The sequence below is a fragment of the Homo sapiens genome, chromosome 18 (assembly GCF_000001405.40).
Source record: "Homo sapiens chromosome 18, GRCh38.p14 Primary Assembly".
In the NCBI taxonomy this organism is placed as follows: domain Eukaryota; kingdom Metazoa; phylum Chordata; class Mammalia; order Primates; family Hominidae; genus Homo; species Homo sapiens.
In genome coordinates, this window is record NC_000018.10 from 20,990,907 (window position 1) to 21,004,456 (window position 13,550).

At 37.1% G+C, this 13,550-nt stretch overlaps 1 protein-coding gene across 1 annotated transcript in view; it reads right to left on the reverse strand.

The window, feature by feature from the left end:
• The window catches only part of ROCK1 (Rho associated coiled-coil containing protein kinase 1), a 164,908-nt gene that overhangs the window by 44,001 nt on the left and 107,357 nt on the right, over nucleotides 1-13,550 (reverse strand). The window contains exons 17-18 of the mRNA NM_005406.3: nucleotides 1,925-2,031; nucleotides 270-420 (exon numbers count right to left, since the gene is read on the reverse strand). Of these exons, the coding sequence (NP_005397.1) occupies nucleotides 270-420; nucleotides 1,925-2,031 (258 nt within the window). The remainder of the gene's footprint in view (nucleotides 1-269; nucleotides 421-1,924; nucleotides 2,032-13,550) is intronic.

Consider the following 13,550-nt stretch of genomic DNA (forward strand, 5'->3'; position numbering starts at 1 on the left):
TGCGACACACACCTGGCTAATTTTTTTATTTTTAGTAGAGACGGGGTTTCACCACATTGGCCAGGCTGGTCTCAAACTCCCGGCCTCAAGTGACCCATTGGCTTCAGCCTCCCAAAGTGATGGGATTACAGGCATGAGCCACTGTGCCAGGCCTATAATTTATATTATACTTTCTACGAGTTAAAGAGTACAAAATTTTGACCAAAACCAAATTTTTTCTAGTCACTATTTAAAGTCAATTTTGTAAAAATATTAAAACTGACACTTACCACACATTGCCACAGACTTTGCCTCTTCAATAGATTGATGTTTGTCAGTTAAACGAGCTTTGGTTACTTTGTGTTCATTTACCTCTTGTTCTAACCGTTGTTGTAATGATTTAAGTTTGTAGTTTAAATCTATCTCTAAATTATTCTTTTCCTGTAAAATGGGAGTAGGAGTCATGTAATAAACTGTGCAGAAGGCATGCATGTTAGTAAATCTTACATTTAATATTCTGGAAGAGATATGATGCCTTATTTTAAAAATCACAATAAACACATATAATTAAAAGCAAAAGATAATCTTTTCTTTACCCCCTCCCTTCCCATTTGAATCATTAATCATGGCGGAGGGCAGAACAAGGCTGTGCTGGTGGTTATGTTCAGGACAGTTCATTGCTAAGATCGGAAATGAATAAGACAAATTTTCAGTTTATTTAAAAATTTCTGATACCATCTTTTTTTTTCTTTTCTTTTTTTTTTAAAGAGATGAGGTCTCACTCTGTCACCCAGGCTGGAGTGCAGTGGCACCTTCTCAGCTCACTGCAGCCTTGAACTCCTGGGCTCAAGCTATCCTCCAGCCTTAGCCTCTGGAGTGGCTAGTATTACAGGCATATGCCACCACACCTGGCTAATTTTTAAGCATTTTTTTGTAGAGATGGGGTCTCGCTCCACTGCCCAGGCTATTCTCAAATTCCTGGGCTCAAGCAATCCTCCTGTGTCAGCCTCCCAAAGTGTTGGGTCTACAGGCATGAGCCACCTTGCCTGGCCTGCTACCACTTTAAAAAAATATATTAAATCATCTTTATCTACATTTGCATCTATATCCACATTTACTTTGCTTTCACAAAAAAACAAAAACAAAAAACAAACAAAAAAACCCCACAAAGTATCCTGTGGCAAGTCATTGATATAGAAAGGAAAAATGAGTCAAAATATATTCCATTTCTGTTTGGGTACCCTTTTCTACTCTTCAAGCTTCTTTTATCCTATGTCCACATTTACACCAGCTTGGCCATCAAAAACTATTCTAATTGTGACAAAACATGTCCAAAGGACAAGATAAGTAGTGGCTTTTCTGATAATTTACCTGAGGTTCTATTGAACCTCCAACATTTCAGAGGCTTTGAAAAAGTGACAGCTGTATCTCTATATCATCTATTTAACTCTTAGCTAGGTATATAACAGAGAATAACCAATGAAATTTTTATTGTTAAGAAAATTCTAAATGCAAAGGCCAATCACTTTATGCTCTTTTCTATTTTGCTAACTGTAAAACAACAGAACAGGTACTCATCATCTACCACGTACTGATCTGTTGTTTTCCTTCTTCATAAGCCCTCACAGCACATTCATCTTACTCATGTACAAAGAAAATAGGAAAACATACTTTATAAAAAGGTATTTCCAAACCAAAGGAATCTGTGATGATCTGTTAACATGAAACATCTAATGCTCTCTAGGGTAAAAACAAAAATAACAAATAACAAAACCCTAAATAAGACATACATACAGCCCCACATACAACCAATCAAACATAAAAACTTTTAGAAATGTAACTATATAAACATTAAGAATAAATGCTATTTTATAAAACCACCTAGTAGTCTATGATAATCAGTAATTACTATTTTATAATAATTGGTATATGTTAAATCATTTACCTTTTCTGAGTGATTAAGCATGTCTTGAGCCTCTTTTCTTTCTCCTTCCACTTTTTCGAGATTATGTTTGAGATGCTTCACCTCCTCTTGTAAAGATGTAATTCGAGCTATCAAGTGAGAAAAAAGTTCAAGTCTGTAGTCATTGAAAGAAGTCTTTTTGTTCAGTATTGACAATTTAGTTTTTAAAAAATGTTTTTTTAATGTATTAAGTTTCCTGATCCGATAAGATTTTATTAAGTGTTTTCACAATAAACACAAGATATGGAATAAAAATATTAATGCTAATTGGATATAATCTAGTGCATATTCCTTATTTACAAGTAGCCAAAGAGATGAAGCCTCAGCTTGAGCTAGAAATCAGATCCAAGTCCTTACTGAGTGCTTTTTTTTTGAGACGGAGTCTCGCTCTGTTGCCCAGGCTGGAGTGCAGTGGCACAAGCTCAGCTCACTGCAAGCTCTGCCTCCAGGTTCACGCCATTCTCCTGCCTCAGCCTCCCGAGTAGCTGGGACTACAGGCGCCTGCCACCAGGCCCGGCTAATTTTTGTATATTTAGTAGAGACGGGGTTTCACCTTGTTAGCCAGGATGGTCTCAATCCCCTGACCTCGTGATCCGCCTGCTTCAGCCTCCAAAAGTGCTGGGATTACAGGTGTGAGCCACCGCGCCCGGCACTGAGTGCTCTTTCTAACCACATTAAAGGTGAGAGCCTTTAGTTAATTAAGGCAAGTATTAAGTGGTCCATATGTGCCAGACACTGCAAAGTGTTTAATAAAATTACTTTTAAACTTAATGGAGCCAAACTCTATTTTCACAGAAAACTAAGTTTTTAAGGAATTCAAGTACTCTAACAAAGCTTAGTTTTAACTTACCTGATGTTCGTGCCTTGCAATGGTAGTAACTCATATATTTAGTAATTGTCTACTCATTAAAACATGCTTTAACCTTACAGGTATTTAAGGCATAAATATTTAATAAACACACAAATTTAACACATGTAGTATCTGACTTAATATATTGTCTAGCTTAAAATAAAAATTATATTTTCATATTTTGTAATTCAAAGTGGCCTAGGATTTGACAAGGAAAATAGATGAAGTACCAGATGGGCCAGTAAAACTTCTGTACTACTCAAAGTACAGTTTGACTTACTGTACTTGTCCCACTCTCAAATGTACTCTAGTCACCTCCCATATTTCAGGGTTTCTAAAGTAGTTATTTAATAAACAAATAAATATTAAATCTTTGGCACCTGATAATGCATATCTGCTAGATTAGTTCTAGATCTAGAAAACAATGAAATAAATAATTTTATTTACACACTCAAGATATTTTCATGTTGCAGTAAGTTCATGTAGGAGAAAGAAACAGCTGCCGCTTTCTTTCAAATAATTGACCAAAAATACAGAGTATATGTGTGTTTGTGTGGACAGAGATAAAGCAAATGTGCTAAGATGTTTAAATGTTGAAGTGCTATTTAGAAATTATAATTTAAAAAATAAATGATATAATTATCTTTAAAATAGGCCAGGTGTAGTGGTTCATGCCTGTAATCTCAGCACTTTGGGAGGCTGAGGCAGGCAGATTGCCTGAGCTCAGGAGTTTGAGATCAGCTTAGCCAACATGGTGAAACCCTGTCTCAAATACAAAAATCAGCTGGGTGTGGTGACACAAGTCTATAGTCCCAGCTACTTGGGAGACTGAGGTGGGAGGATCGCCTGAGCCCAGGAGTTCTAGGAGAAAATCTGTTTTAAAAATCATTTTAAAAAATCTGTACAAAGATAGTAATTCAGATTAATCTTTGAATTTTTCATGTAGAAGCAGCTTACTGCAAACCAACTCCTAAGGAGACAAGATAATAAACTATATGGGTTGAATCCACGCAAGATTCCTAGCAACCACATGAAAGAGACAAATTAAGTATAGTTTATTTTCCTCATTTACTCTGTCTGAAAAGAAATGTCGGAAATAAACTAGAACTTACCTGTGCAATACACGAAAGCAAAGAAGCTTTATATACAGAAAATATAAAAACATAATGGGAGGAATAAGGGCCCAAACACTAGGTATCATAATCTAAGTTGATTAAAACAAAATTTCTAAAAGCTAATAGAAGATATTATCTTCATAATCTAGTCAAAGACTTTTTCGATAGGCCACACTAAAAACCACACTAACAATAAAGAAAAAACTAGATACACTGGACTACATCAAATACAAGAAATTAAGACCTTTTGCTTATCCAAAAGCAGCACTGAAGAGTGAAAATGTTCCCACCATGCAGTAGACTGACTATAGTTAACAATAACATACTGCATATTTCAAAATAGCTAGAAGAGATGATTTTGAATGTTCTCACCATAGAGAAATGACAAATGTTTGAGGAGATGTACATACTAATTACCCTAATTTGATCATTACACATTGCATATACGTACCAAAACATCCCATAAGTATGTACAATTATTATGTGTCAATTAAAAATAAAACAGGGGGAGGCAGAGAAGGGCCAAATAGAAGCCTCCACCGATTGTCCTCTCTGCAGGAACACCAATTTGAACAACCATTCGCACAGAAAAGCACCTTCATAAGAACCAACAATCAGCTTAGTGATATATATCAGCTTGGCCATGGTGGGGTACAGCACCAAGCAGGCTCTTGGGGGTCCCCAATTCCAGGTCCTGGTTCTTGGATGGCATTTCTGGACCTGCTCTGGGCCAGAGAGGAGCCCACTGCCCTGAAGGGAGAGTCCCAAGCCTGGCAGCATTGAGACCCAGTGCTGTGCTGGCTTCAGGTCTGACCCAGCACAGTTCCAGTGGTGGTGGCTACAAGGGTGATTGTGTAACCCCTCCCCACCCTCTCCCTGGCAGCTCAGCGCAGAGAGACTCCATTTGTTTGGGAGAAAGGGAAGAGAACAGAGCCTCTGCATTATAATACAGATAATTCTTCCACATCTTACCCAAAACCACCAACATGGTTCCTCTAAGAGTCTGCAAGAGCCACAGTATTACTGGGCTTCGGATGCCTCCTAATACAGATATGGCTACAGTGACCAAAAACTTAAATCACAACACCTAAGTCCCTTCGAATACCTGGAAAGCCTTTCCAAAAATGACAGGTACAAACAAGCCCAGACTGCAATGACTACAATAAATACCTAACTCTTCAATGCCCAGACACCAACAAACAACCACAAACATCACGACCATTCAGGAAAACATAATCTCACCAAAGAAACTAAATAAGGCCCCAGGGACCAATCCTGGAGAGACAGAGATATAAGACCTTTCAGACAGAGAATTTAAAATAGCTGTTTTGAGGAAAATCAAAGAAATTCAAGATAAAACAAAGAAGGAATTCAGAATCCCATCAGATAAATTTAACAAAAAGACTGAAATAAGTACAAAGAATCAAGCTGAAATTCCGGAGTTGAAAAATGCAACCGACATACTGAAGAATGCATCAGGGTCTCTTACCAGCAGAAATGTTCAAGCAAAAGAAAGTATTAGTGAGCTTGAAGACAGACTATTTGAAAATACAGTCATAGGAGACAAAAAAGAATTAAAAAGAATGGAACATGCATATAAGATCTAGAAAATAGCCTCAAAAGAGAGTATCTAAGAGTTATTAGCCTTAAAGAGCAGGCAGAAAGAGAGATAGGGGTAGAAAGTTTACTCAAAGGGTAATAATACAGAACTTCCCAAATCTAGAAAAAGATACCAATATTCAAGCACAAGAAGGTTCTAAGGGTTCAGAGGTCTGACTCAGCACAGTTCCAGGGTGGTGGCCATAGGGTAATGGTAAGTACACTGAAAAACACTACTGTAACACTGCAATTGCAGTGTATAAATTATTCATATCTTGGGTAGAGAGACTAAAAGAACTGATCAAAAATAACAACTATAATACTTTCCAAGAGGCAGTAAGATTATAAATAGAAGCAACGAAAAGTTAAGATGCAGGGGACTAAGTTAAAGTGTAGAGTTTGTATTAGTTTTCTCTTTGCTTGTTTGTTAGTTTGTTAATGCCATCACTGTTAAGTCATCATCAGTTTAAAATAACGGGTTAGAGGATATTATTTGCAAGCCTCATGGTAACCTCAAATCAAAAGACATACAACAGATAGATACCCAAAAAATAAGCAGCAAGAAATTAAAACCTATCACCAGAGAAAATCATGTTCATTAAGCAGAAACAGGAAGGAAAGAAGGAAGAGAAGACCACAAAACAATCACAAAAAAATAACAAAATGGCAGGAGTATGTCCCTACTTATTAACAATAACAGTGAATGCAGATGAACTAAACTGCCCAATCGAAAGACATGGAGTGGCTGAATGGACCAAAAAACAAACAAATAAAAAAACAAAAAAACAGAACCCAATGATCTGTTGACTACAAGAAACACACTTCATGTATAAAGGTACACATAGACATACACAGAAAAAACAAGGGGATGGAAACAGATATTCCATGCCAATTAAAACAAAAACAAAAACAAAAAAAGAGCAGTAGCAGTTATACTTGTATCAGACAAAATAGATTTCAAGACAAAAACTATAAAAAGGCACAGAAAAGGTCATAATGTAATGATAAAGGGGTCAATTCAGCAAGAGAATATAACAATTGTAAATACAGATGCACCCAACACTGGAGCAACCAGATATATAAAGCAGATATTGTTAGAGCTAAAGACAGGGATAGACCCCAATCCTGGAGACTTCAACTCCTCACTTTCAGCACTGGACAGATCACCTAGACAGAAAATCAACAAAGAAAAATCAGATTTAATCTGCACTATAGACCAAATGGGACCTCATAAATATTTACAGAACATTTCATCCAACAGCCACAGAATATACATTCTCCTTAGCATGAGGATCATTCTCAAGGACAGACCATATGTTACTCCACAAAGCAAGTCTTGAAAAATTCAAAAAAAGTAAAATTATATCATGTATCTATCTTCTCTGACCACAATGAAACAAAACTAGAAATCAACAACAAGTGGATTTTTTTTTTTTTTTTGAGACGAAGTTTCGCTCTTGTACCCCAGGCTGGAGTACAAATGGCGTGATCTTGGCTCACTGCAACTTCCGACTCCCGGGTTCAAGCGATTCTCCTGCCTCAGCCTCCTAACTAGCTGGGACTACAGGTGCCTGCAACCACTCCTGGCTAATTTTTGTATTTTTAGTAGAGACAGGGTTTCACCATGTTGGCCAGGCTGGTCTCGAACTTCTGACCTCAAGTGATCCACCCGCCTCGGCCTCCCAAAGTGCTGGGATGACAGGCATGAGCCATCATGCCTGGCCAAAAAGCGGAATTTTTGAAACGATACAAATACCTGGAAATTAAAGAATATGCTCCTGAATGACCAGCGGATTGATGAAGAAATTAAGAAGAAAATTAAAATATTTCCTGAAACAAATGATAATGAAAACAAAACATACAAAAGCCAATGGGATACAGTGAAAGCAGTACAAGAAAGCTTATAGCTCTGAGCATCTACATCAAAAAGGTAGAAAAAGTTTCAATAAACAACTTAATGATACATCTTAAAGAACTAGAAAAGCCAGAGCAAATCAAACCCAAAATTAGTAGAAGAAAATAAATAATAAAGATCAGACACATGCAACCTACCAAGATTAAACCATGAAGAAATCCAAAACCTAAACAGACAAATAACAAGTAATGAGATCTAAGCTGTAATAAAAAGTCTTCCAGCAAATAAAAGCCCAGGACTGAATGACTTTACTGCTAAATTTTACCAAACTTTTTTTTTTTTTTTTTTTTTTTTTGAGACAGGATCTTGCTCTGTCACCCAGGCTGGAGTGCAGTGATGCAATCTCGGCTCACTGCCACCTCCGCCTCCCGGGTTCAAGTGATTCTCCTGCCTCAGCCTCCCGAGTAGCTGGGATTATAGACATGCACCACCATGCCCAGCTAATTTTGTATTTTTAGTACAGATGGGGTTTCTCCATGTTGGCTAGGCCAGGCTGGTCTGGAACTCCAGACCTCAAGTGATCCGCCCACCTTGGCCTCTCAAAGTGCTGGGATTACAATCGTGAGCCACCGCATCCGGCCCTTACCAAACATTTAAAGATGAACAAATAACAATCCTACTCAAACTATTTCAAAGAATAGAGGAGGAGAGAATGTTTCCAAACTCATTCTACAAGGCCAGTATTACCTTGATACCAAAACCAGATGAAGACACATTTTAAAAGACAAATAAACAAAAAAGCTATAAGCCAATATTCACGAGGAGCACACATGCAAAAACCCTCAACAAGATGCTAGCAAACCAAATTCCACAATACATTAAAAAGTTCATTCATCATGACAAATACCATTTGCTGAAATATCATTGTTTTAGCAAAAAACTAATTTAAATATGTTAAAATGCCAAAATAAAATATAAAATTTACAAAAAGGCATAATCTACAAAAAGGCATTGAGTCCCACCAAGAACATACAAAAATTAAAAATAAATTAATGGGCAAGATATAAGAAGAAAATGCACATTAAGAAAAAGCCTCAGAGTCAGATACATTTAATATCATTTATAATACAAATTTTAATCCACCCAGAAGATACAGGAGTCAAAATCTTACACACCAAAAAACACTGCATTAAAAATATGTAAAGCAAGGTATTCATGAAATACCCACAGCTAACATCATACTCAATGAACAATCCAAAAAGAAAATTGAGAAAATTCCCTTTAAGAGCATCAAAAAGAATAAAATACCCAGGAAGAAATTTGTATATAGAAAACTAAAAACAAACACACAAATGAACAAAAACACTGCTGAAACACATTTTAAAAGATCTAAATAAATGAAAATATATCCTTGTTCATGGATTGGAAGACTTAATATTAGTTTTGGTTTTTTTTGAGACAAGGTCTGCCTCTGTCAGCCAGGCTGGAGCACTGGGACAACAGGCGTGCACCACCACACCTGGCTGATTTTTTATTTTTTGTAGAGACAGGCTTCGCCATGTTGCTCGGGGGGGTCTCAAACTCCTGTGCTCAAGTGATCTGCCTACCTTGGCTTCCCAAAATGCTGAGATTACAGGCTTGAGCCACTGGCGCCTGGCTGGAAGATTTAATATTGTTAAGATGGCAATACTACACAAAGTAATCTACAGATTCAAAGAAATTGCTATCAAAATTCTAAAGGTCTTGTTTGCAGAAATAGAAAAGCCAATCCTCAAATTCACATAGAATTGCAAAGAACCCTGAATACGTAAAACATACTGAAGAACAACAAACTTGGAGGGTTCAAACTTCCTGATTTCAAAACTTGCTACAAAGCTACAGTGAACAAAACAAAACAGTGTGGTACATGCTGGCATAAGGACAAACACACAGACCAATGGAATAGGGTTGAGAATCCAGAATATCATAGATGCATGATATCTATAGTCAATTGATTTTCTTTTTTTTTTTTGGAGACAGGGTCTCACTGTGTTCGCCCATGCTGGAGTGCAATGGTGCAATCTTGGCTCACTGCAACCGCTGCCTCCCAGGCTCAAGTGATCCTCCGGCCTCAGTCCCCCAAGTAGCTGGGACTACAGGCACGTGCCATCATGCCTGGCTAATTTGTGTATTTTTAGTAGAGACATGGTTTTGCCACGTTGCCCAGGCTGGACTCAAACTCCTGAGCTTAAGCGATCTGCCCAGCGCAGCCTCCCAAAGTGCTGGGATTACAGGTGTGAGCTACTGCACCTGGCTGCCAATCGATTTTCAACAAAGATGCCAAGACCATTTACACAGGAAAGAATAGTCTCTTCAAACAAATGTTGCTGGGACAACTGGATATTAGATGCTCAATATCATTAGTCATTAGGGACAATGAAAATCAAAACAAACAGCAATGGGACAACCACCACATACCCACTAGAGTAACTAACTGAAAAAAAGGAAAATACCAAGTGTTGGCAGGGATATGGAGAAACTGGAATCCTGTACATTGCTGACAGGAATGTAAAATGGTGCAGCCATTGCAGAAAACAGTTTGGAAATTCCTCCAAAGTTACACATAGAATTACAAGATGACTCAGAAATTCCACTCCTAAATATACACCCCTAAAGAATTAAAAACAGGTACTCCAACAAATACTTGTACACAAATGTTGAAGGAGTGCTATTTACAATAGCCAAAAGGTGGAATCAATCCACAGTAATATTCTGTTATATGTATATCATCAACAGATGAATGGCTAAGCAAAATGTGGTAAATACATATAACAGAATATTACTCAGCCACAAATGAATGAACTACTGACACATGCTACAATATAGATGAACCTGTAAAACATTATGCTAAGTGAAAAAAGCCTGACACAAAAGGTCACACATTCTATGATGCCATTTATACGAAATATCCAGAACGGGTAAATTCAGAGACAGAAAGGAAATTGGTGGTTGCCAGGAGATAGTGGAGCGGAGAATAGGGAGGGGCAGCTTAATGGATCCTATTTTGTAGTTTCAAAATGAAATGTTTTGGAACCACATAGAGGAGGTATTTGTGAACATTTTGAATGTAGTAAATGCTGTTGAATTGTATATTTTTAAATGGTTAGCTTTTTGTTACAAGAATTTCACCTTAATTAAAAAATATAGACAGCAAAAGCTGTTAGAAATACAAGGGAGGCTGCCAGGCATGGTGGCTCACGCCTGTAATCCCAGCACTTTGGGAGGCTGAGGCAGGCAGATCACGAGGTCAAGAGATCAAGACATCCTGGCCAACATGGTGAAACCCTGTCTCTACTAAAAATACAAAAATTAGCTGGGCATGGTGGCGCATGCCTGTAGTCCCAGCTACTTGGGAGGCTGAGGCAGGAGAACCACTTGAACCTGGGAGGCAGAGGTTGCAATGAGCCGAGATCATGCCACTGCACTGTAGCCTGGGTGACAGAGTGAGGCTCCGTCTCAAAAAAAAAAAAAGAAAAGAAATACATGGGAGGCTATGAGAAAAAACCCACAATGATAGTGAAAACTTTTAAAACACATTTTAAAATTTGACAGAACAAAGGGACAAAGAATAAATGCAATCTTAGAAAACTGATGGATTACATTAGAAAACGGATCAACTTTTCACCCAAAAAGATGTTTCATACAAAAATCGACAATTTTCAAATGCCCATGTAACAGTGAAATGCAAAAATCATTTATAAACTAAGCCAGAAAAAAAATCATTAAAAGTAGAAATCCCAAAGTAGAAATCTTTTAATAGTTCCTGATCACAATAAGAAATTATTAATTACAAAAAAAATTGTTTCCTACCTCTGTCCATTAAAATCACCTACAAACATTGACCAACCCAACAGTAGTGAGCACCCATAGAATTCAGGTTATAGACCCCGAATGTCATATGCTACAAAAGGAACCGGAGTTCCTAGGCAAATGGGTGATTTCAGGTCTGGGACAAAAAATAATTCTGGAAAATCTATGCATATCAAAAAGCAAGGATGTGATCTAAAACTACTAGGGTAGTGTCTAAACTTAAAGAATTCCTACTAAACTTCATGTGAGCATCATTAAGAATAATGCAAAGGGCTAACATATATTAAATATATTAAAATTCATGAGTTCACAAATATATTTTAAAAATTCACTAATCATCTTTGGAGGATGCCTGGGAAATAACTCACTGTTCCAAAAACTGACAAAGAATTAAGTATTTAACCTGACTTTCTTTTATAAGCTGTACCTCAAAGTAACTACTATATAATTGATGAGGAAATGTTCATCTCTAGAGTAGTATTCCAATTAACAAATGAAGGAAGATGGATAAAAATAGATGATCACCACTGCAAATTCCTAAAGAAACAAAGGACCTAGGCAATGATCATCAATGGCTACTAACACCACAAAAAGATACAGCCAGACTTTATGTTTTTTCATTCGTTTGTTTGTTGTTGTTTTTGAGACAGGGTCTTGTTCTGTTGCCCAGGCTGAAGTACAGTGGCACGATTTCAGCTCACTGCAACCTCCATCTCCTGGGCTCAAGCAATCCTCCACCTGAGCCTCCTAAGTAGCTAGGACTACAGGTGCATGCCACCATACCTCGCTAATTTTTTATTTTTTGTAGAGATGAGGTTTCGTCATGTTGTTCAGGCTGGCCTCAAACTCCTGGGCTCAAGAGATCCACCCACCTCAGCCTCCCAAAGTGTTGGTTTTACAGGTGTGAGCCACTGCACCCAGCCCAGATTTTATGTTTATGTGTCTCCTGGTACCTAAATACTACTTACAAGTATTCTTGACAAAGTCCTACCGAAGTAGATCACATCTCTAGATCTAACGTCTAGTTTAAAGTACTACGGCGGACAGAGCAACATGCTAAATGATACCAGCAGATGAAATCAGTAAAATTCTGAACAGGAGCCACTCACAGGACGAAAAAAACATGGTTTCTTTAACCGAAAACAACAGCAAAAAGAGATTACAAAGAACACAAAAGGGAGGAGGAAAATACAGATTAAAATAAACTTAAGGGACGTATTAATGAAATGCAATGTCCAAACTTTGGATCCAAATTCAAGCAAAATAAATGCAATAAGAACAAATTATGAGACTACTAGAGGAACTTAAGCACTAATTAGATATTTTATAATATTATATAACTGTCACCTATTTTCTACCTTTGATAATGGCATTGTAGTTATGTTTGTCTTTTTAAAAAAGAGTCCCTATCTTTAAGATAATGAAATATTTACAAATTAGGATGTATTTACAAAAGGACAATGTGGTGCCTGATATGAGCTTCAAAATAATTCAGTGTCAGAGGATTGGGAAGGGGAGGTGGAGGTACAAAATGAAACACGACTGGCTACCAAATGAAGGTTTTTGAAGCTTAATGAGTACACAAGAGGTCACTATAGTACAGGTTAGGCATCCTTAATTGGAAAATCCAAAAATCCAAAATGCTCCAAATTCTGAAACTTTTTGAGCACTGACATGACATTCAAGGATTTCAGATTTGGGATACTCAACTGGTAAGTATACATAATGCAAATATTCTCACAAACCACCCAAAATCCAAAATCTGAAGCACTTCTGGTTCCAAGCAAACAATTAAAAAAAACAGAAAAAGACTTTTAAAAATGGTTAATTTAAAAAAATTGATTTTTGCCTTTCAATCTGAAGAATCAGAGATAAACTTACTAGATGAAAGCTTATCAATTCAGTTAAAATTTCAATCCTCCATAACATTTTGATCACTTTCATTAAGCCTCTATAGCCTGAACTTTTGGAAACTTTCCCTATAATCAATTGCAGCCTTACTGTTGCACTAGTCCAGGTACTGGCAAACATCAGGGCTGCAGCCTGTTTCTGTACAGATGTCAAGCTAAGAATGGTTTTTATACTTTAAAAGGTTATAAAAAGTAAAAAATAAAAAAGACTATGCAACAGAGATCATATATGGAGGACATTCAATTAATGAATAACAATCAAGACTCTGCCAGAAGCCCACCATCCCAAACTAAATTTATACTTGAGAGACCTGAAAGTTCTTAAAGACCAGAAAAGACTAATATAAGCATTGTGATTTTTTTAAAAACCCACAATGCACTTTTATATGTATGTTGAAACTCACATAAGTTGTGTGCATTATTTTAGTGT